The following is a 23232-nucleotide window of genomic DNA, read 5'->3' on the forward strand; positions in this document are numbered from 1 at the left end:
CCCAGGCTGGAGGGCACTGGCGTGATCTCAGCTCACTGCAACCTCCGCCTCCTGGGTTCAAGCTATTCTCCCGCCTCAGCCTCCCGAGTAGCTGGGATTATAGGTGCCCGCCACCACGCCTGGCTAATTTTTTGTATTTTTAGTAGAGACAGGGTTTCACCATGTTGGTCAGGCTGGTCTCGAACTCCCAACCTCAGGTGATCCGCCCACCTCGGCCTTCCAAAGTGCTGGTATTACAGGCATGAGCCACTGCGCCCGGCCTGGAGAGCGCTTCTTATGAGAGAAGCCATGGGTCTCCGGAGCAGGATTTCCACCACATGAAGGTGGACGATAAGAAAGTGTGGGACCCACGCCGGGGAGGGGCAAGTACAGCCCCCGCAAGGCCGCCCATTAAATCAGGATTGGGGGAAACGGTGACAGTCTTTTCAGCAAGATGAGAGGCCACCAGCCGGGCCAGTGTCACTGGATTTGAGGGAGGGCCATTTGGCCCCTTAGTTGGAAAATATGCAGATGGCTGGCTCCTTGATGGAGTCCCCTGATGGCAGCTCCTTAGGAGACAATACAGGACGTTCAGGCGGCGGCTGCAGTTCAGTGGCAGCCTGGAGGGGCTGTGCGTGATGCCGGGCTGTGCGTGATGCCGGGCTGTGGGTGATGCCATGCTGTGCGTGATGCCGGGTTTGTGGGTGATGCCGAGTTTGTGGGTGATGCCGGGCTGCGGGTGATGCCGGGCTGTGCGTGATGCCGGGTTTGTGGGTGATGCCGGGCTGTGCGTGATGCCGGGTTTGTGGGTGATGCCGGGCTGCGGGTGATGCCGGGCTGTGCGTGATGCCGGGCTGCGGGTGATGCCGGGCTGCGGGTGATGCCGGGGCTGTGTGTGATGCCGGGTTTGTGTGTGATGCCGGGCTGTGCGTGATGCCGGGCTGGGGGTGATGCCGGGCTGTGCGTGATGCCGGGCTGTGCGTGATGCCAGGCTGTGCGTGATGCCGGTTTGTTTGTAGGTCTTTAGTTTTTTCTTTCTTTTGTGTTTAATGGGGAAGCTTCCCGCCAAGACAGCAACCCCTCTGGGGGAAGGAGTTCAAGCTGAGACCTCTTTTTTTTTTTTTTTGAGACGGAGTCTCGCTCTGTCGCCCAGGCTGGGGTGCAGTGGCCAATCTCGGCTCACTGCAAACTCCGCCTCCCGGGTTCACACCATTTCCCTGCCTCAGCCTCCCGAGTGGCTGGGACTACAGGTACCTGCCACCACGCCCAGCTAATTTTTTGTATTTTTTAGTAGAGACAGGGTTTCACCGTGCTAGCCAAGATGGTCTCGATCTCCTGACCTTGTGATCCGCCTGCCTCGGCCTCCCAAAGTGCTGAGATTACAGGCGTGAGCCACTGCGCCCAGCCGAGACCTCCTCTTTCAAGTTGCTACCCAGGAGTGGGGTGCCCAGAGGGACAGCCCCTGGAGGTGCAGCCCCCTGCTTTGTTGGGGCGGGAGCATGCCACCCTCTGAGCCGCGGTGGGCTCAGTGAAGTGGGTGTTGTCATCCTTCCCACTGCACGGGTCTAGAGTCTGGGGTGCGGTGAGCTCGCGGCTTGCTGAGGGCCAACAGTTAGTGAGGGGTGGAGCTGCGACTTGCAGGAAGGTCCAGCCCCGCCTCCCAGGCCCTTTCTAGCCCCTTCTGTTGCCGTGCTGCTTCCCACCCTTGCCTGGAATCCTCCTGTGGGGGACGCATGTGGTGGCCCCTGTGGCTGACTTTCCGGCTGAGCCAGGGCACCAGTGTCCTCACTCTAGAGATGAGCTCTTCTGAGGGGTGAGGTCCAGCCACACCTGTGGTGGGGTGGTGTAGCCCGAGCCTGTTACCCCGTCTATAAAACAGAGGGATTCACTTCTTTTACAGGCACTTCCTGGCCCTGCGGGGTGCCCTGTCTCTGGCTGGAGCTGATGAGCCGTGGTGTGATGCTTGCCTGGGGGTCGGTGTTGCCTAGAAGTGAGGAATGACCTCCTTCACCCCTGGCTCCTTCCGGCAGCCTGGCCACTTCCAGCATGTGGAGGGGGCCCGGGCCCTGGCAGAGACGGTGTGGAACCGCCGGCCGCATGCGGGGCTGGAGTTCGGGGCTGCCAATGGGCTAAGGCCCTGTGTTCAACACATGTCGCGGAACTGTCGTGAAAAAAAGACTCAGGACCACAGGTCCGGGGTGCTCCCAGGGGTCTTTCCCACCGAGGCTGGGAGTGAGCAGCAGCCTAGGCCCAGCCACACCTCCCAGGCTCGGGAGCTGCCAGGCCAGGCAACCGTGAAGGGTAGCAGGGTGGGGGGTGGAGGGGAGGACAGGGAGAGCAGGCCTCTCGGGCCTCACCCACCCTTGCACCTTCCAGCTCTAGGGCCCACACAGTACCAAGCCCTGGGCTCAATGTACCACTTATGAAAACTCAATTCAAATTGGCTTAGTGCAACAAGGTATTTGGTGGTCTCACATGACTTGAACATCCAGGCCTGGCTGTCACGGGAACCGCATCTCTTCCCATTGCAGCTACTTGGCAGGTGGCGGGATGTCCCCCAGCCACCGACGTCCCCCTGCCTGCTCCGCAACCCCAGGGCCTGCAGAAAAGGCCCACGAGACTCAGACTGGCAGAGACTTAGGCGGACCAGGAACAGGGGCGCAGTCTCCGTCCCACCCAAACCCTAACCAGAGAGAACACGGCACGTTGTGCCAGACGGAGGACGGATGCCAGCGAGGGTCCATGTCCTCACTGCCGACAAGGCTGGGAACTGGGCCAAGTGAAGCAGAGGCCTCCACGTCAGATGTGAGCGCCACCGGCCCAGGTGACTGCAGTTCTTCCCTCCTTCCGTTCGGCTTGAGCCCTCCAGAGGATCGGAAAGGCTGAGGCCTGACCTGGTGCCGCTGTCCTGGGTGGGTCTGTCCTGCTGGTCGGTTCCTGCCCCTCTCGGGGAGGTTGGCTGGCAGCTGGCAGGTGGAAAGCCTCCTGTGTTCACCTCAGGGCAGAGGTGGGGACACAGGGCGGGACGGGCGAGTGTGGTGCCCCTCTGGGGTGGGTGCTCTTGGGTCCGCCTCCCGTGCCAGAGTGCGTGTCAACAGTTCCAGCTGCCCCTCAGAACTGTCCTGGTTTAGGAGGTGAACACACGGGGCAGCCTACATTCTACGTGGTTTTTTTAACATTATAAAAGCAGCATGTGTTATTACAGGAAATTTAACAGAAGTATATAAAAAGAAACCAGAAGTCACCCGGGAGTCTGAGCACTGTGCTCTCTGGGGCCTTTCCTTTCGGCCTTCTTCCTTCCAGCCCTTTCCCTGCACACTGGACAGAGTGGCTGAGTCTCTCTCGTAAGCCCACAGGGTTATGATCGCTGTGCAGGTAAGGAGACTACACGTGTGCCCCATGTCAGAAGCACCTGTGCCTGGCCTGGGCACTGCACTGGGGGTGAGGCCTGGGGCCAGGCCCCACGTGGGGGCAGAACGGAGCTATCCATCCAGCCAGGGACCTCATCTAGGGATTGGGGGCAGCAAGGGGCTGGTAAGGGCCAGAGGTAATTCCAGGGCCACTCTGTGCCCTACCCTCAGGTGGGGCACAAGGGTGGGGGCACTGCGCTGGGTAGAAGCCCCCCGCCAGCCCCTGGCCCACCAGTCATCTGTCAGATACGGAGGCAGGGGTGAGGGGAGGGTGTGCTGGGGAAGTCAATGCATCCAGCCTCGAATCAGTGAGTCCCTAGGCCTTGGGTAAGGCAGGGCTGCAGGGATGGCAGTGAGGACAAGGGGCTCACCTCCCCCCAGCAGCCCCACTTCACATGTTTGTTTCTTGAGTTCAGTGCTCATAGACTTAAAAAAAAAAAATCTTGCTAAAAGCAAAAACCAAAAGAAAAGCGGGGGCTACAGAGCCTCATTCCCAGAGGGGCTGCTCTGGCCCTAACAAGCATTCTAGGCCAGACTTCCATGGGCAGATTGTGTGGGCAAGTGTTGAGTTATGGAAATCAAGCAAACCTCTCCACGCCTGTCCTCCAGGCCGCAAACACGCCCTTCTCCTGAGTCCGGGTAAGCAGAGGGCCATGCACGGGAGACAGTGGGCCACGCCGGGCTGGGCTTCGTGCTTCTGGGGCCCCCGCAACTCACTCACGCAGCAGAAGTCTGCACTGTGCTGCCTGCAGCGGGGGCAGAAACCCGGAGCCAGTGAGCCTGTCTGTGCCACCTCAGCTACCCTGGTGGGTGGGTGGTGGGGGCCATCCCAGGCCCCTCAGGGCTGCAGGCCAGGCTGGGCCCATCTCCGCACGCTGCTGTGTGGCCTCACCTCCCAGCGCTGTCGAAGGCTGAGCTGCTGTGCTCGGAAGGGCAGACTCCTCCATGGCTTCTAACTCAAGTGACACAAGGAGTGTCTCCCCACTGCTGTCCTGGGGCTCCTGGCCCTAGAAGGGCTCCCCATGATGCAGCTGTGGCCATGGGCAGCCTTCCCCCGTCCCCCGGCGTCTCCACAGCTCTGTGATGTCTGCTAGCCCCATTTTATCGATTCAGACCCCGAGGCTTGGAGGGGACAGAAGGGTCCAGTCTAGGTCTCTCTGCGCCCAGAGCTAATGCTCCTGTGAGCAGGGGGGACCTGCCAGTTCACCACACCCAACAGAAACCACACAGCTGGCACCAGGCACTTGGGTATTGAACCAGGAAGCTTTATTTACACAGTACAAGTAACAAGCAAATTCCTGAGAGACTAGAGCGGCTGGAGTGCAAGCCACAGCCTGTGCGGGGAGGCCAGGCTGCAGGGGCGGGCAGACCCTGGGCCCCGGGTCTACGCTTTCTGGTCGCCACACTTCCTGAAGCACGGCAACACCCACAACATCCAGCTCAGGGAAGCCCCTGCAGCCCCAGAAACAGCCTATGTGCTATCTGTCGCCCCAGCCCCCAGGACAGCTTCCCCACACACTGAAAACACAAATCATTTGCCAAAAAGACTATGCTAGAAGGTCAGACTATCCTATCTAGGCTACAAGATCTCCACTTCGGTCTGCCATTAAAAAAAAAAAAAATCTTTCTCTTCTTTTCTCTTTAAAGAGGCATGACAGAGGGGTTTGACCAACAGCGTGGACATGGCAAGGTGTGGCATCATTGCCAGTGTGGGGCCAGAGGGTGCCCGAGCCCCGGTGCGCGGCCAGCCTGCTGCATCCCTGCCGGCTGACGTCTGGAGTGACCGTCATTCCAGTGACCACCCCCATAGCCACAGACGGCACGTCAGTGGAAACGGGGGTGCAGCAGGCATGACACCAAGGCAGAGCCCGCAGCAGGGGGCCCGGGGTTCCACAGCTAGGGAAGCTTGCTCAGACAGGCAGCACACCCAGGGCACGGCCACTCACGCCCCCGCACCAGGAGACCCATTTGGAAGTTAGTTAGGGTTTGTTTTGTTTTCTTTTTAATGTGGACTTCCCCTTTATTTAAATTTTCTTTCAGTGTACAAATTCACAAAACTGGCTACAAAAATTTGGTTGAAAAGTAAGGCTTTCTGAGAATGAAAATCTGTACGTCTGGTCAGAACAAGCTCCCCACGGGCCCAGGTGCACGTCTGCCCGTGCAAATCCGGCCTCCACCGCGAGTAAGGCAAGAGGGTATGGCAACGAAAATGGCAAGGCTGTGGCCCCAGCCCCTGGGCCCCACGGGTGGACGGCAGCCCCTGGCAGTTTGGTGGCTTTGGAATGAGTGGGGTGCATGTGGCACTAAGCCCCCCCCACCGCCCCGGCTTTCCTGCAGGCTTAGCCCGCGCTTTAGGACCCCATGAGCAGGCAGATGGCCTGGCACGGCTTGCTTCTGGCTCTGCCCTTCCTCAGTCTCCCCTCAGAGGCAGGGTTTGTGGGCAAGGCTGTGACAAAAGTAAGGCTCCTGCCACTGCCCCCAGCTGGGGCCATCATGCTGGTGGGGGTGAGCTGTCTGCCTGCTGCCCATGGGGACACCAATGTGGGGGGCACCTCCTAGGCGAACCTCCCTCCCAGAGGACTGAGATCAGAAGTCCTGGGGCCAGCAGGGTGGAGTGCAGGAACAGGCTGCTCCGGGCAGTGTGGCAGCTTGGATGATGGGGTGGCACCTTATAGATAGGGTCTACTCCCTCCAGTCAAAACACAAACATGAAACCAGCTAAAGGCCATTTCTTTCTCTAAGCAGAAGGGATAGCCACCATTTTCTCCCCTGACTGCTGCGTGGTGGGCACAGGACAGGCAGGCGGGGTCTGAGGAGGCTGGGTCATTTCTCCCTAAGCGCCCTGGGGCTGGGCTTGCTGGTCGATGGGACCAGCTTGCGGGGAGGTGGGGAGGTGGCTGTGACTCAGCCAGCTCCACAGCTTGTCCCTTCCTGCCACCAGGCCTGAATGGGGAGGTGGCAGGCAAGGTTTGAGGGCAGGTCACCCACACCCCAGTCCCACGACATATACCTGTCACCATGTGCCTCCCACCCCAGCCCTAAGCAAAGGTAGCTGGGGGCTGCTGCATGCCTCAGCCTCAGCTGGCACCGTCCACCTCCCTCACTGCCTCTGCCTTCCACAGGAAGGCCTGCTATAGAGGCTGTGTGCCCTCGGCCACACCGGGCATGTGGTGCCAGGACCCCCCACGCCCAGTGGTACTCCGGGGGCAAGACATGGCCATGTGCTCTCCACATTCACCCAACAACTGCCCTGGCCGCCTCCACATTTGCTCTAAGAAGACATGGTCTCCATGACCCCCAGGCAGGGACAGGCCAAGATGTCTCTGTCTGCTCAGAGCCACCAGCTCTTGGGTTCGGCTGTCCGGGATCACAAGTAGACATGCCTCCGGCAGGAGCTACAGCAACCAGAGGTGAGCTGGTTCCCCGGCTCTGGGACCTGCCCAGTGCCCGGCATACCCCATGTGTCAGCCACCTGAGCTAGCAACACCATCTCTCAGGGCTGTGGGGCTGGGGGCTTTCTGCCAGCTCCTTAAAGCTGATTTTTAAGAAGTGCCACCCACATATTGGGAACTTGAACCACCATCCTTTTGATGTAGTAAAAAAATAAGATTTAAACAACGTTTCCCAAAAAGCATCTTTCTTGAGGAGAAAGAAGGTGAGAAGCATCTGGACTCAACCTGCAGAAGCGAGGCGTTCACTCGTCCATGAAGACGAGCAAAAGCAAAGTGACTACAAAAGTGCTTTGAACGCGCGTGTCAGCCAACACAAGGGAGCGCACCAGTTATTTTTAGCCTTATGGGAAAATGAGCCACTTGCTCCTAAGCCAGCCCAATTGCTATTGTTTGCAGAAGACGCCACATTCGCTAAAAGCCAGATTCCCATAGAGCAGAGCCCATGTGGTGGTGTCTGCAAGGCAGCCGGAGAGGAGCTACAAACCTTGAGAGGAGAGCAAACCCTCAGGGGGCTAGGCTCCTCGGATGCCCCAGGGTGAGGAGCCAGGGTGGGGTAGGGGCAGGGAGCATGAATCCAGCTTTGTGCCGGTGGCTGGGCCTACAACAGAGATGCAGCCCTCAGGACTGGGCTCCCCCTAAGCTGACAAGGGCGTGGGCTTGTCTTGAGGTGGGTGATGTGCCCTGGTTACAGCCAGCAGTCCTCAAGGACAAACGGGAGGTGCCTGGAATCCTGCAGGGGCCCCTGCAGAGTGGCCAGCGGACGCCCTTCACCCCTGAGTGCGCATAGGGCCCTCATCTGCCCACCTGCTCGCAGCTCCCGTCTCCCGAGGCCGTTTTCAAGAGGCTGCCCTGGTATCGTGCCATCCCTACACTCACCGGAACCAACCATGCTTATCACTCAGTGACCTGTCAGCCACAGAGAAGGGCTGCCATCTGCTAACCCTGCCCCAACGGTGGCAGAGCCATGGGGTCAGCCTCTCCATGCTGTAGGAGAGGCAAGCAAGTCCGTCTTTTCAGCCAACAGATCCACCAAATTTCTACCCAACACGGGAGGCCCTAACAAGCACCCTCCAAATCGTTCCTTGGGCCCGAGACTCCGGACATGGCTTACCCTCTGGAGGGCCAGTCCAGCACCCCAGGGATTCTGTCTCTCACATTGGAATTAAGGCCAAATGGTTCTGGTGTTACAGAAGGAAGCATCTCCCGAACCTTCCCAAGCCTGAAGCAGGGAGACCTGGGAGAGAAGGCACGGAGTAAAACTGAGTGAAAGAAGCTGCGGGGCCGACTCCCCAGAAGTGAACCTGAGTGAGGCCAAGAAGGGCCCTGACATAGCAGATGGCCCCTGGCCCCCACCCCAGGCCCTCCCTGACAGCCCCCACCACCAGGGGGATACAGAGCGGTGCCCAGCTCTGCCGGGGACAACAGAGACTGCCCAACATCCCACAGGGAAAGAGGCAGAAAAGACGCAAACTTCAAAGCTGTCCTCTGGGCTGCAGTAGTTCTGTGGACCTGGTGGCTGCCACGCTCGGGGAGCCGGTGAGAGGCTGACACACCCGCTGTATGACGCGGCCAGGCCAGGCTCTCCCCCAGGCAGCAGGTGGGCTCCCTCTCTGGGACCCGACACCACTCAGGAAGCTTTCATCAGGCCCACGAGTTGGGCTCCCCTTCAAGGGCCCACCTAGTGCCCAGAGTGGGGGCTGTCGATGCCAGCACACCCCAGCCCTGCCTGGGCCCACACCCCCTCAGTTCTTCTCTATCTGCTCAATGTCCAACTCGCCGTCCAGGGAGCAGAGGCTGTTCCCAGGGGCCCCGCGGTCCCGCCAGGCTGCAGCCGGCTCCGCTCTCCTGCCACAATCCTCGTCCAGGGCGCAGCTGTCTGACTCCTCACAGGACAGGTCCTCCTGGCAGGCGAGGTGGTCGTCGAAGGAAGGGGGAAGAGGCTCAGGGACCGGGGTCCCAGCGGGGGTCCTGCCCCCTGGGCCGGAGGCTGAGAGCAGGGCGGTCCAGGCCCTGGTGTTGCTGACGTGGCGGGCGAAGGGGCTCTGGGGACCGCAGTCCTCTGTCCCTGCGCTCAGGCAGCTGAGGCTGCTGAAGGTCTGACAGTTCTGTGGAGGGGCAGACACACAGGTTACTAAGGGTTACTCCCCTCCCGCAGCCCCAGGACTGCACACCCCACAAAGCAACTAGACCACCAGGCTGTGGCAAGACCAATCAAGTCCCGGGTTCCTCCTATCCAGGCAAGGACGGGCCCATGAGCAACGTACTCATGAAGATGCACCTCCGGCCAATGAGCGCTCTGTGCTCATAAAGACACGCGCAATTCCACTATTCACCTACTAACTCGGCAAAGCACACAAATTTGATGCAGACCCAGTTCTGGGGGGCTGCGGTGAAACAGGAATGCTCCTAACACTTCGTCCACAGCCTTTCTGAAGCGCAACCTGGGGAAAATATATCCAATTCCTTGATCAGGTAATTTCACTACTTGGATTTTTATCTTAAGAAAACATTCTAAGATGTGTGTAAAAATTTGGCAACATACCGTTAAATGGAAAAGAAGAGAGTAACCCAAACACCCTACAATGGTGGTGAAATCAATGTTTTTCAAGCAGGGACCTCTATGCAAACATAACTGACGCGCCGCGATACTTCCCTTGAGAAGGGATCTGACTTGGAGGAAGCCCAGGCTGTAACTGCCCCACACAGGGCGACACGACGCCCGCTCTACCCACTCTCCACAACCAGAGCGGGAGCCGCAGGCTAGAAGGGGCCGAGCTGAAGTCCTGAGCCTGGTGTGTAACAGAGCCATGCAGGGAGCTGGGGAAACATGAGTTCTCGGCCTCACCTGGAGACACAGAGTCTCTAGAAGGGAGTGGTCCTGTGCCCTCCACAGGTGCTGGGGACTGGGAGGTCTGATCTGCTGAGGAGGGGCCAGGCTCCAGGTTCTGGTGCTCGCCAGCTGGGGGCCTCATCTGGAAGAGGTGCATGATGCTCCCTGCCTGCCTTGCTGGGCCCTTTGAGGCCCCAGAGAGAGAGTAGGCTGCGCAGAAGCTTCTCCGCTCACCAAGTGTGCTCCCTCTGTGTGCTCCCAGGCACCAAGTGTGCTCCCAGGCTGGCCTGGGGCAGGAGGCAGCCTGGGGCCTGCCCGAGCGGCAGGCAGAGCTTGAACAGGATTTCAAGGGTACGCAGGCCAGTTCTGCTTGGCGTCAGCTGCCAGCGATGGGGGTAGGGCTGACACTGTGCACAAGTGGGTGCAGTTCAACACCTGCTCCCAGGGCAGAGCACAAAATCCAGCCTTCTCCTCAGAATGATGCACATGCCACAGACAGGACAGAGGCTGAGACAGTGAGGGGCACTCCCGGCGCAGTCCTGGATATCCCCAACCGGACTGCAGCAACGAGGTCGAATAGCAGAGGGGAGCGAGGGAAGAGCTGCGCACAGAGGGCAGGGGGGAATTCCAGCCTTTAGTTTCTTCCCAGCAGATGGGTGGGGACTGGGGAAGCAAAGCAGGGCCTTGGAGCACCCGCCGCCTCCCTCGCCGCACGCCTGCTGACGCCAAGACCACAGACCTGTCCCGAGGGCCTGATTCTTTCAAAGGCTGCAGTGTTTGTGTGTCTCTTTGAAATACAGGTGATCACTGGCTGTCACAGCCAACAAGCTGTTGAACCAGCCTCAGCGGATGGGAAATAAAAGGCGCTCTCTCTGGAGGAAGGTATATGTGCCTGCCATGGGCACGCTCATTGTTCCTGAACACTCGGTGGAGGAAGCCGTTCTGATGGGTTTGCTTTTTTTGGAATCTTTTGATTAACTGAGAAAGGTGAAGGCTGAGGTGTTGGGGGGAGCTCTGCACGGGAACTCAGGAGAGTGGCAGGGGCACCCATTAGACTGGAGATGCTGGCCCCCCAAGGAGCCACAGGTCCACCCTCTGGGCCATGGTGGGATTCGATGCAGCCCGGTGGTGTGCACACAGCACAATCCCCTCACCACGGCAGAGAGCTGGAGACGGCGACCCCTGCACAACAGCCCCAGGTTCCTCACCGGCTCCTGGCCAGGCCTGGACGATGGATCGGCAACCAGGATCCTCGCCTGCCCCTGGCCAGGCCTGGGCGATGGACCAGCAGCTCCCAAAGCGAACCTGCCGCTTGTGAGGTGGAAGCCCCAGTGCTTTCGAGGGGAGGGTCTCTGAGGCTCCTCCTGCTTCTCAGCCACCCTCTTGACTGGCCTAGACCTGAGCCAGGACAGAAGGAGAACTGAGTAGGGGGCACAAAACAGGGGCAAGATGGCCCAGCCTGGGTGGCCTCAGCCGTGTGTCCCGGGCTCTGCTGAGCCAGGCTGCCCCGACAGAGGAGGCCTAGGGTGAGGCCAGGATGCGTCAGGGCCTGAGGTCCCCGGGGAGCCTGACCCACCTTCTCCTGACCCTGGCTGAGCAGCCTGTTTCTTGGCCTGTAGAGCAGCCACGGTGTGTAAGGATAAATAATCATGTCCAGTCAAGGCCAGAGCAGCCCGGATGACATGCTGTGAACAGGTTCTAGGTGGGTGACAGGGCACTGAGGCCGACTGCCTTGGGTGTCAGCCACATCTGTTGAGATGCGTGTGCCTGACGCCCGAACGCGTGCCAGCGTTTTCTGCGAGCTGTCATGTGAGGGGCCTGGGGCGTGGCCTGCTGCGAGTGTTTTCTGTGGCCTCGCACGTGAACGCAGCAGGAGCGCAGCCTGCGCAATCGGACAGACGCCGCACAGCGCTTGTCTGTGCTCACCCTCTCGGTCCTGCTCGGAGCTTCCCACTGACCTCCTCTGGCATAAGGCGCAGGTAGCGGGGGTGCCTAACTTATGGCCACCATGATTGTGTGGGTCTCGGCACTAACCGTGGTGCTACGGTCGAAATTTGTGCCCCCCCCCCCCCCACCATTCCTCAGTGCAAAAGGTGGGGCCTCTGGGAGGTGATGAGGTCATGTAGGGGCCTTCACAGATGGGATGAGGGCCCATAACAGAGACTGGAGGGAGCGCAGGTGCCTCTCCAGCCAGACAAGGATGTGAGAAAGTGCCAACTATGAAGAGCAGGCCCTCACAAGACCCCGATCCTGTTGGCACCTGGATCTTGGACTTCCCAGCTTCTAACTAAGAAATACATTTCTGCGGTTTATACGTTCCCCAGTCTAAGGCATCTTTGTCACAGCAGCCCAAACAAAGTAAGACACTTTATGCATTAGCCATAGCCAGGCACGGGCACTGGAGACCCATTAGCTAGACCTTTCACAGACGTGTGGCTTTTGCCTCACTGCGCCCTGGAAGGGGCTGAGGTCAGACAGGCAATACAGAGGCAGACTCCATCCACATGGGCATCACGGCGCCAGGCAACTCTTCCACCTCTGGGCTGCAGCCAGCCTGCCTGCCGAGTCAGGGTGTTCAGGGCTATCTGGACTAATTGGGCCCTTTCTGCTGTGAAGCAGGGGGAGTCTACAAGGAAGGGCTGGTGAATCTCGTCACAAGCAAACCCCAGAATGCCACTGAGTCTCCAGTATTCTTCAAATATACCTGCTTCCTGGCCACAAAGCCAGCGAAACCTTGAGAATTCCGTTGACTCAAAACAGCCATTTCAGCCACAGTAAAAGAAAGCCAAGAACCACCCACTGTTTGCCCCAGCTGGTGGCGAGCCCCACCTGTCAGGAAGGAATGTGACTGCCACAATGGGGCGGTGTGTGTTCTGCCCAGAGCCCCATCCCTCGTGAGCAACCCCCATGCAGACACCCAGGGTGTGCCACACCCAGGCCCTGCAGCTGCCCTGTGCCCTCCATGCCCCGGGGCAAGGTCCCGCCCCAGAGTCTCCTAGCAGCTCTAGCTACCCCATGGAAGAACACTGCACAGGCAAGTTGGAAGCCTGGAGGCCTGTGTGCCCTCAAAAATGTCTGCAAAAAGCCGCAAAATGGCTAAGTTCAAAGTGCTGCATGAACACATTATTCCAAGGTGAAAGTGCTGCTCCAGGACCAACTGTCCCCCAGCCCGTCGACTTCTGCTCTCTTGACATCCAGCCCCAGCCCTGGGCTGGGCCACCTACTCTGGAACAGGCCTGCCCAGGTAAAAAGCTCAGTGGGAACTGTCCCTATGGCCTCAGGCTAGTGGCCAGGGACATGGATCAAGACCTACTCCTAGAGTCTGCAAAAGGCAGACCACAGCAGCCTGCTAGAGAGGCAACTTTGGGATGGAGGCCCTGCCTTTTCCATCAGACCCCCTAGACCTCAGCTCTAGCCACCAAAGAGGCCCTGGCCATTCCCGCTGGCCCCAGCTGGGGTTTCCTGCTCAGCCTGCCCCAGCCGGCCTCCCTAGGGCTTCCCAGCTTGGAGCAATGACCCCTCTTCTGCAGGGCTGTTCTGTGCAGATATTTATTCCCATACTTTCTCCTGAGTCCACGGGGATACAGACAAAGGTGGCCTGGTCCTTGCCTTCTAGGTACAAGCTGAAATACAGACCTGCCTCAGGAAACTCATCAACTCAACATATCAGCTCTGTACTGCTGCCAGGCAGACTGCTACTCACTCCGTCCAGCCTCAGCCCAACAAGCTCATTCCCTCTCCCAGGTGCTGCTGTTCCTGGGCCAGCAGGGTGAACACGTAATAGAGACGCTAGAAACATCTCCTGAGCTGAACTAAACCACATGTTTTATCAGTAGTGACCCAGAACCCACTCTGGGCTCCGAAGGGCAAGGCCTGGGGAGTGGAGGGGGAAACAGCCCCAGCATTTGTCTAGGGACTGCTGTCCCTAGAACTCATGAGCTACGGCCCCACATGCAGGAGTGGGCATCCGGTGACAAAGACAAAGCTGGCTGGTCAGGTGATATGTCTGGGAGCAGATAGTGACCACTCCCCTTTGTCCCGGTTGCCTCCTCCGAAGGAGGCTGCGGTATTCTCACCCCCTGGGCCCTGGCTCTCCACTGAACCTGGAGGGTTCCGGAGAGGAGAGTGGGAAACTAGACTCTGCAGCTGGAGGCACTGAGATCCTCCACTGGCCAAGTGGCCTCACTTCCCGTTTCCTCCCCTGGGAAGCAGAACTGCTGTCTCTGGCCAGGCTGCTTCACAGGGCCACTGCAAGGATCCTAAGAGGAAAGCCAGGCTGCTGGTGTCCCACCTGGAGTCCCAAACCCACAGCAGTGCCCACTCTCCACTGCTGTGAGTGTTGGCTCTGACAGTTCATGGCTGCCCCTTCCGGAACTACTCTGGGCTGGGAGATCTAGGATAGGAAGGAGGTTACCCTTTCCCTTTGGGGTCACCCCCAGCCAATGACCAACAGGTGCAGGGACAGGAGCTGTCCCTCCTCTTGGGCGGGATCAAGTCCCACGTGCTAGTCACACTTCGCAGCTCCCAAAGCACCAGGCTGAGAAGCGACTTCAGCTGAGCCCACCTCTTTCCTGGGCCTCTGCAGTTCATGGGCTTCCCTCGCCTCCCTGAAGGTTCTTGCTGGGAGCATCCCTCTCTGTGTCACTGGCACGAGAATCCCCGGCTCAGGCCCCGCTTCTAGAGACCCAATCTAAAGCCACAGGTAAAAGCACCCTGGGTGTTAATGTAGTTATAGGTTATGCACCTGCTTCTTAGTACTACTATTCTTTCTAGAACGGGAATGTCAAGCCATGGTCAGAGACTGGCCACGGGGCCCTGTGGGGAGTCCAGTTCCTGGCCCCAGCCTGCCTGGCATGTGCTGGGGAGGGGTGGTTGTTGGGGACGCCTCTCCTCGGTTAGTCGGTGTCTTAAGTGTAGTGCCCACATGAGGCTTCCTCTGGGCCCCTGCCTGCGCCAAGTCCGTCTCCCAGAGGTGCTCAAGTGCCTCCCTTTTGGGCAAGCGAAGACCACTTCCCTCCTGTGCCACTGCTCCTCATGGCGGGACCAGCTGCGTTTCCTCCTTCCCTTGCTCTCTCCCTCTTTTTAGTCCAGTTTTATGGCGCTCTGTGTTAGAGGTCTTCATGGAGCTACCTCGAGTCCCTCTGAGAAAGGGCCATCAACAAGCCCAACTCACAAGTCACGAGCAGAGCTGGTCCCCAGCCTGGCCTGGCAGCTGCCCTGCTGAAAGCTGCAGGGGCCCCAGGCTCTGGCTGAGTGGACGCATTTCCTCCCCAAACAGACGCTTGCATGAGAACAGAATTCTCCAAGTATCAAGAAAACACCAGGCTATGAGAATGGATGGCCAACAGCCTGGAAATTTTCTAAGTCCCATTTGTGCTGGAAGCTGGCACAGAAACAACCAAGACGGCAAGGCATGTGGTTTCCTAGGCTTTTTAAAAAACTATTTCAGAAAAGAAAAAAAGGCACAAGCATATTTTTGGCCCATCTTTAACCCATCTCTGGTAAATCTGGATTTTGCGTGAAGGCCGTACTCTTTCTCACAGGAAGCTGCTGCCCCTGCCCCTGGGGCCAGAGGGGTCAGGTGGTGGTGGCTTCTTTTCCTCTGAGGCTGCAGGTGCTAGAGATGCCTCGAAGGCTGTGGGCATGGCCAACCTTTCCCTAGGGGCTGACTGCCCAGGCTCTGCAGGGCCCTTCCCCTGGGCATCTGGTCTTCTGCTGCTGCCCAGCCACCTCCTGTGTAGGCCAGGTCAGCTGCTCGCCCAGGGCCGTGTTGGTGCCCAGTCTTAAAAAGGGATAGCATCAGCCAAGCGGGGTGGCTCACACCTGTCATCCCACAACTTTGGGAGGCCAAGGCAGGTGGATTGCTTGAGCCCAGGAGTTTGAGATCAGCCTGGGCAACATGGCAAAACCCCATTTCTACCAAAAAAACTAAAAATTAGCCTGACATAGTGGCGCATGCCTGTGGTCCCCGCTACTCGGGAGGCTGAGGTGGGAGGATCACTGAAGCCCAGGTGGCAGAGGTCGCAGTGAGCCGAGATTGCACCACTGTACTCCAGCCTGGGCAACAGGGCAAGACCTGTCTCTCCAAAAAAAGAAAAGCGGGGGACAGCATCATGCCCAGCCCATTTTTGTGAAATGCTTACCACCTTTGGACCCCAAAGAGGCAGCCCTTCTGAGTCTGGACTGCCTCCTTACCCTCAGGAATCAGGGCAACACTGGCAGCAAAACCCAGATGGGGAAGCCAGGTTGCCAGGGCCTGAAAATAGGGAAATCAGGTTGCCAGGAGCGGGAAGGTACTCCAGGGCCCTGGAAGCTCCACTGATTTGGCAATGGATACTCAAGACTCTTCCCAGACCACAGGTTCTAGAAGCAAATGGCCCAGTGGGGGTGGTAAATATCTTCAGGGTGGAAGGCTGGCCCTGGTCAGTTACTAGGAAAGTTCCCACCTTCCTGTGACAGTTTCCTTAGCTCATTTCTGCAGAGGCCAACAAATGTGTACTGAGCGCCTGCCACATGCCAGCCAGACTGTGGTCACCCCGTTCCAGAAGCCAGTACAGCAGGGGACAGACTTTGGCGGCACTGTCTCAGACTGGTCAGACTCACAGGGCAGGCGCCATTTTTCCTTTTCTGTGGACAAGGTATCTTGCCCCAAATCTGACATCCCCTCCAGATCTGGGAGGCCCAGGTGGTGCCAGAGCCAGGTATGCTGTGTGGCGGCCAGTCCAGGCCACGCTGAGTCACTTCGGGAAGGGTGGCACCAGCTTGGGGCTCTCTCCATGGTCTCCACACCCCCAGCCATCCCTTGGCCTTGCTGTCCCCGCTCTGGTGGCTCTCTTGGGGCCCTCATGCTGTGCATCCTGGGGGCACCCCTCCCGCTGGATTCTTTACACAGTGTAGCCTTGCCTACGGTAACTCGAGGCCTAGGACCCAGCTGGGGACAAGGACTCTAAGGAAAATTACCTATGGCCTCCGGAGGCTGAAGGAGTGGGGGAAGGAGGAGTTGATCTTGGGGACAGCCCATCCCCAGCCCAGACACCTAAAATCCCAGGCCTCTGAAGACGGACCTAGGGCCAGCAGGCCCAGCCTACTATCTCCCCTGCCAGACCCAAGGAAGGCAAGCGTGGGCTCCAGCAGGTGCCCTGTGGACTCCACTCATCCCGTGGGCTATCAGCAACAGAGGGTTACTCATAACGGAGCCCTAGAAAGTCACTCCGTTGGCCTGGGGAGTTGTCAAGTTCACCAGAGTGGTGCTCATCGGGCCAAACCCGCCACGCAGGCCAGAGCCCGGCCACCACTCTCGGGCTGGCCTTTCCCAAGGCCCCTCTTCCTCAGGCTCTGCTTCCTGGGCCCTCCGCCCTTGCTGCTCCCACTCAGGCTCTGACTCCTTCTATAGCAAACCTCTTTCAGCCACATAAACCCCCTCTGCACCAGCCCTGGGTCAGCACCATCCTGACGGCCCCGCCCTGTCTCCCTCTTCACTGGCAGATTCCTTCTCTCCCACCAAAACCCGCCTCTGCAGCAGCCACTCCGGAAGCAGGCCCAAGCTCCTGTGTGTACCCCATTTCCTGCCAAGCGTGCAGGGAACCCTGACCCCACATGCCACGGCCTGGTTCACAGTGGGTGCATCGTGCAGCCTGGGGGCAGAGGGTAGGTAGGAAGGAAGGGCCCACCCGGTCGGCCCTCCCAACTGGGCCTCTGTTTGCACAGCCCTGGGGTCCTGAGGCCTACACCCCAGGATGCCGTGGGTAAGAACAGACCTTGGAGGCCCAGAGCCACGCGTGTCCTCTGAATGGTGGCCAACCCAGGGGCCCCTCTCCGAGGGCACCCCACAGGCCACACGGTGGCGACGTTTCTGCACCAGGCCCCAGATGGCAGATGGCCTGCCCGAACACAGAAGGTGTGGGAGCTGACGCCAAAGGGCCTCCCGGTGCTCTCACAATTGGAAAACAAACATTTTGTTTCTGTGGTGTACATTCCAGCCAGCACACACTCAGGACAGGACTCGTGAAACCACCTCGCTCGCAGCTTGGCGTGAAGAGAATTCTTTGCCTAACAAAAGTCAAGGGACCTTTCCAAAGCACACAGGGTTCTGGCGGGGGGCCGAGGCTAATGTACTGCCTGCGCCCACAGACCTTGAATAGAGTCGACCAGCAGGGCTCACAGTTTTGGGGGTGGCTTCTGAGCAGGACTAGCGATGCAGAAGGTATGTCCAAGGCTCTCAGAGGGGCTGGTGGGCACTCGTTCGCATTCAGCTGCCTGGGGCCACATCGGGGTGCTGAAGACAGGACTGCTGAGCACGGCCTCTGGGCTCCACCCCAGCAGCTCACAACTCTGTTCCAGATATTGTCTTCCATGGAGGGCACACTCTTGGAGAAGTGAGCAAATCACCAACTGGTTTAGCCACTCTTGCAGATGAGCAGACAGAGGCCGAGTGAGGAGAAGGGACATGCCCCAGACTGCACAGCTGCGTGATGTGCAATCGCACCCCATCACTCTGGGCTGTGCTCAGGAAAGCATGCAGTCCTCCGGCAGGACGGTGGGGTAGTATGGGCTGGACAGGCCTGGGCTGGAATCCCAGCTCGGGTGTGCCCTGAGGGAACTTGGCAAATCATTAAACTTCTGTGCCTCAGTTTCTCATGTGTACAAGGCTAATAAGAGCCTCAAAGCCTCAGAAGTGTTTGGAGGGATAAATAGAGACCACCAAGGGTGCGATCCCCCCTTCCCACACTCCACCCCACAACTGTGCCTCTGTCTCTCTGTGGACACAGCAAGGCCACAGCAAAGGGGTCTGGGAGCTCTGCTTATATCCAACCACTCTTGCTAACAACAATCTGCTTTCAAGAGCAAGAAGACACGCCAGCAACACAAAAGATAAAATACCCAGGAATGAACTTATAAGAACTGGGAAAATTGATAGAAAAAAAAAAAAAAAACTTTAAAGAACAGAAAAGCAAGACTGAACAAATAGAAATAAATCCTGTGTGAGGGATAGGAAGACTCAACCTCAAAAAGGTGTAAATTCTCCCTAAATTAATTCAGAAGTCTAATATGATCCCAATCTAAAATATCAACAGTACTCCCAATCCCCATGGTCTTAAGACAGACTAATTTTCAAGTTTTTAATGAAAAAATAAACAAGTGAGATTAGTCAGGAAAACTCTGTAAAGAACAGTGGGGAAGCTAACCCTCCTAGACTAGCCCGTACCATATAATATGCCAAAACACATTACTAAGCCTCCATAACTAAAACAGCATATTAGTATGAACGTACATGCATACCTACAGAGACCAATGAAACAGAATGTTCTGAAATAGACCCAGTTTGGTATATGATAAGGGTAGAATCTCAAAGCAGAGGAGAAAAGATGGCATTCTCAACAGATGGTACTGAAACAGACAGGCAGCTACATTAAAGAAAATGCTGGCTCCATACTCACACCACATACAAGATAAACTCAACACAGACCAAAGAGTGTAATATAACCCATCAAAGTACTAGAAGAAAACAGGAGACTTCCTTTATCATCTCGTGAGAAAAAAAGGCCTTTCTAAAACTCAAAATCCAGAGCCATAAAAGAAATAAGTAATAAATTTGATAAAAACATTTACATGTCAAAAAATGCCAAAAGCACTGGTAGGAATGTAAGATGGTACAGTCGTTGCGGAGAACAGTTTGGCAGCTTCTCAAAATGTTCAACACAGAGTTACCATCAGACCCAGCAATTCCATGTCTAAGAAATGAAAACATATGTCTATGTAGAAACTTGTACACAAACATTTACAACAGTGTTATTCAAAATATCCAAAAAGTAGAAACAGCCCAAATGTCTATCAACTGGTGAATGGACACATAAAATGTGGTCTAGCTGTACAACAGAATATTATTTGGCCATAAAAAGAAAGGAGATACTGATACATGCTACGGTGTGGATGACCCTTGAAAGCATGACGCTAAGTGAAGGAAGCCAGACGCAAAAGGCCACATATTTCATGGATCCATTGATATGAAATGTCCAGAATAGGGAAACCCACTGATACGGTTTGGCTGTGTCCCCACCCAAATCTCATCTTGAATTGTAGTTCCCATAATCCCCACGTTTCGTGGGAGGGACGCAGTGGAAGGTAACTGAATCATGGGGGCAGTTACCTTCATGCTACTCTTGTGATAGTTAGTTCTCACGAGAGCTGATGGTTTTATAAGGGGCTTTGTTCAGCACTTCTCTCACCTGCCGCCATGTGAAGAAGGATGTGTTTGCTTCCCCTTCCGCCATGACTGTAAGTTTCCAGAGGCCTCCCCGGCCATGTGGAACTGTGAGTCAATTAAGACTCTTTCCTTTAAAATTACCCAGTCTCAAGTATTTCCTTATGGCAACGTGAGGACGCACTAATACACCCATGGAGACAGAACACAGTTTTGTGGTTGCCAGTGGCTGGGAGTGGTGGTGGCTGAAGGGGACGGGGAGTGACTGCTAAGGGGTATGGACTTTCTTTTGAGGTGATAAAAATGTTCTAAAATTGATTGTGGTGATGGCTGTAGAACTCTGTGAATATATTCAAGACCACTAAGTTGTACACCTTAAATGGGTGAACTGTGTGGTATATGAATTATATCTCAATAAAGCTCAAGAATGTCAAAAGCAAAGTCAGAAAACAAAGAACAAATTAGTAATAAATATTTGTAACTCATATCACAGGCAAAAATTAATCTCCCTAATATACAATTGAGAAGAAAACGACCAATGACACAATTATTTTATTTTTTATTTTTATTTTTGTTTTTGGAGACAGAGTCTTGCTCTGTCACCCAGGCTGGAGTGCAGTGGCATGATCTCGGCTCACTGCAACCTCTGCCTCCTGGGTTCAAGCAATTCTCCTGCCTCAGCCTCCTGAGTAGGTGGGAAAACAGGGCCCGCCACCACACCTGGCTAACTTTTTGTATTTTTAGCAGAGACAGGGTTTTACTACATTGGCCAGGCTGGTCTCGAACTCCTGACCTTGTGATCTGCCTCGGCCTCCCAAAGTGCTGGGATTACAGGTGTGAGCCACCACGCTCGGCCGACACAATTATTTTAAAAGGGCAAATGAAAAGAACACAGAAAAGGACATAAAAATAGCCTTTAAATATACAAAAGATGTTCAACTGATTAGAAAAACGCAAACTAAAATGACAGAGAAACCGTTTACCTATCTGGTTGTGAAAATGTCAACTGCTGGACCAGCCTCTACTGAGAGGTGGGGTGGGAAACAAACCACCCTGAACGTGGCCCTCTGAGATGCAGGGAGGAAGGGCTCCTACAGCGTTAACCTGGCGACATCCTCCAAGAGGCCAAAGGCACACGACGTGTGACCAAGCAATCCCAATGGGAACGGACCCTGCAGAAGACGGATCTCCCATGCCCAAAGGGACTCATGCACGTGAAATTCACAGCTGAAGCAGCCCGGAGGAGTCGGCAGGGGACCCCACAAAGTGGGTACATCTGTGCAGTGGAACACCGTGCAGCCAAAAAAAAGGGCATGAGAACACCTCCAGGGTTTACTATTCAAGAGAACAAGATACAGCAAGGTATGTATTGCATGCTATTATCTCCTCTGTTATAATAAGAATTGAAATTCCTATTTGCTTATATTGTAAAAAGGAGCACAAGAAACTAGCGGTCCATCTGAGGGCATGGGAGATGGGAGAGATGGGGCAAGAGTTTACTCTGTATGTTGTTTTAATTTTCGAACACGTGAATGTACTGTCCGAAAATGAAATGCCATGTCTATCTCTGTGTGTGTGTATTTATCTTAAGAGCAGAGCACACACTAAGTTAGAAAAGGCCAAAATCCTATTCACATGATCGCTTGTGTTTTCCAAGGTCGAATTCCCACCCCATCTCCATATTAAAATCTCTCGATGTTTCTCTACCAAAGTTCTTTTCTTTCCTTTTCTCTTTATTGGTAGCAACAAAGCGTATGAATTTTTTTTTTTAACGGCACTTTGCAAAATCTGTGGACAAAAAACCTCTACCAGCCCCAGGTTCCTGCACTTTAATAATCACCAAATTAAATCTGAGTTTCACACAAGGGGGACATGCAAACATCAGGAGGGGCCGACCCCTGAACGGCCAGTGAGCCACCCTGTGCCAGACGCCTGCATGTGGGTGGTTAGCCGGGTGGCTTTTCACATGGCTGGTAGGTGCTTTCACAGAACAACAGGAAGAGGGAGATCCCAGGAAAACACTGTTTTGCTGTACAGAGGTTCAGGTGGCCCCCTGCCCGCCCACCCTGGGATTGCTTTGCACCTGCAGCCTTAGCTGCACCTGTCTTGTCCACAGAGGCCCACGTTGGCCACTGGGGGCAGCTGCCAGGCCGGGCCCCATCCTGCGGAGGTTAGAGGAGGCTGCCTGTTTGTCACCAATGGTTCTGGGTGGGGAATGGCCTCTCATGTCTGTGAGCAGCCTCGGTGGCCGCAGGACACACAGAACACGGACACCTGGGCCAGGTGTCTGCAGTTCTGATGTCTGTGACGCCAGAGCCCCGCTCCCACTGGCCGTGTTTTCACACCCACCAAGCAGAAGAGATGCAGAGGCGGAGTTCCCAGAGTCAGGTGCAGCTAGACTTCCTCTCGATCTGGGGGGAGCGAGACTTCTTTCCTCCCAACATCAAAACAGAAGTCATAAGGAGAAGGCAGGCAAGCGCTGCAGAAACACAACTGATTTATCTGCCCAAAGAGGCCTCAGCACAGAAAACTCCAGGAGCAAGCAGTCACCACAACCCTCCAGAGGCTGCCCTTTCTGACAAAATGCTCCCTGCTCCCACTCGAGAGGGCCCCCTTGGAAATGGGGTCTAGATGCACCTCTGGGGACCTCCATCTCTCCTCCATTCTGAGCAGGGGCTGGGTCACCCTTGCTGGTGCTGGGCCTCACAGGGTCCGCAGGTGGCAGGAGACAACCAGACATGCCATGAGGCAGCGCAGGTCCAGGACGTACCTGGCAGGACGTGGGTGCCTGGCTTTGGCTCCAGCCGCCTTGTGCTGGGCATGCCCTGGGGAAGTCTTGCTTGCTCTGGGCCCATCTGCACAATGAGGGTCTTCGGCTTGAGCCCCGGGTGTCCCTGCCCTACCCTGCAAAGCCACTGCACCGAGACTAGCTTCGATGCAACTTGCGACCGGGCACCAAATCCAACTCAGACCTGTACTGCTGACCACCCTAATGGCCACCATAGGCCAGATCCCATCTTGAGCTCCAGACCCAATGGGCATGTCCCTGCTGATGTCCCACGCTCCTCTCAGCTCAATGTGTCTCAAACCTGATCCAGCACCTTCCTCCCCAAGCTCTCAGAATAAAAAGCAAACACCTCACTCCAGGGCTAAAGGCCCGGTATCTCCAGGCCAATCTCACTCATACCCTCCCTGCCTACTCAGGCTCCCCTGGACACATGGAGCCCCTCCCATGGAGTGCCCTCCATAGGCCAGGATCGCCCGCTTCCTAAACCTCTCTCTCCCGAAAGACTCTTCCTGCCATTGCATAGCCCAGCTGAAATGAAACAGCCACCCCAGCCCTATCAAAGCCTCCATGGA

General features: G+C 56.4%; 1 protein-coding gene across 1 annotated transcript in view, besides 6 other annotated features; it reads right to left on the reverse strand.

Moving 5' to 3' along the window:
- Window positions 1–4633: 4633 nt before the first annotated feature.
- The window catches only part of FAM53B (family with sequence similarity 53 member B), a 125087-nt gene continuing 106488 nt past the window's right edge, over window positions 4634–23232 (reverse strand). The window contains exon 5 of the mRNA NM_014661.4: window positions 4634–8946. Coding sequence (NP_055476.3) covers window positions 8584–8946 — 363 coding nt within the window. The 3' untranslated portion in view covers window positions 4634–8583. The remainder of the gene's footprint in view (window positions 8947–23232) is intronic.
- Window positions 5551–5680: an enhancer, noted in NCBI's record as "active region_4169". NCBI's record gives its function as "activates an Ori minimal core promoter by ATAC-STARR-seq in GM12878 lymphoblastoid cells {active_cell/tissue: GM12878}" and the evidence as "EXISTENCE:reporter gene assay evidence [ECO:0000049][PMID:35858748]".
- Window positions 7033–7533: an enhancer, noted in NCBI's record as "H3K4me1 hESC enhancer chr10:126310260-126310760 (GRCh37/hg19 assembly coordinates)". NCBI's record gives its function as "activates a minimal SCP1, AML or CMV promoter by ChIP-STARR-seq in naive H9 embryonic stem cells {active_cell/tissue: H9 hESC(naive)}" and the evidence as "EXISTENCE:reporter gene assay evidence [ECO:0000049][PMID:30033119]".
- Window positions 10410–11365: an enhancer, noted in NCBI's record as "H3K4me1 hESC enhancer chr10:126313637-126314592 (GRCh37/hg19 assembly coordinates)". NCBI's record gives its function as "activates a minimal SCP1, AML or CMV promoter by ChIP-STARR-seq in naive and primed H9 embryonic stem cells {active_cell/tissue: H9 hESC(naive and primed)}" and the evidence as "EXISTENCE:reporter gene assay evidence [ECO:0000049][PMID:30033119]".
- Window positions 11366–12321: an enhancer, noted in NCBI's record as "H3K4me1 hESC enhancer chr10:126314593-126315548 (GRCh37/hg19 assembly coordinates)". NCBI's record gives its function as "activates a minimal SCP1, AML or CMV promoter by ChIP-STARR-seq in primed H9 embryonic stem cells {active_cell/tissue: H9 hESC(primed)}" and the evidence as "EXISTENCE:reporter gene assay evidence [ECO:0000049][PMID:30033119]".
- Window positions 12322–13277: an enhancer, noted in NCBI's record as "H3K4me1 hESC enhancer chr10:126315549-126316504 (GRCh37/hg19 assembly coordinates)". NCBI's record gives its function as "activates a minimal SCP1, AML or CMV promoter by ChIP-STARR-seq in naive H9 embryonic stem cells {active_cell/tissue: H9 hESC(naive)}" and the evidence as "EXISTENCE:reporter gene assay evidence [ECO:0000049][PMID:30033119]".
- Window positions 15193–16045: an enhancer, noted in NCBI's record as "H3K4me1 hESC enhancer chr10:126318420-126319272 (GRCh37/hg19 assembly coordinates)". NCBI's record gives its function as "activates a minimal SCP1, AML or CMV promoter by ChIP-STARR-seq in naive H9 embryonic stem cells {active_cell/tissue: H9 hESC(naive)}" and the evidence as "EXISTENCE:reporter gene assay evidence [ECO:0000049][PMID:30033119]".

Source organism: Homo sapiens, chromosome 10 (genome assembly GCF_000001405.40).
Source record: "Homo sapiens chromosome 10, GRCh38.p14 Primary Assembly".
NCBI lineage: Eukaryota > Metazoa > Chordata > Mammalia > Primates > Hominidae > Homo > Homo sapiens.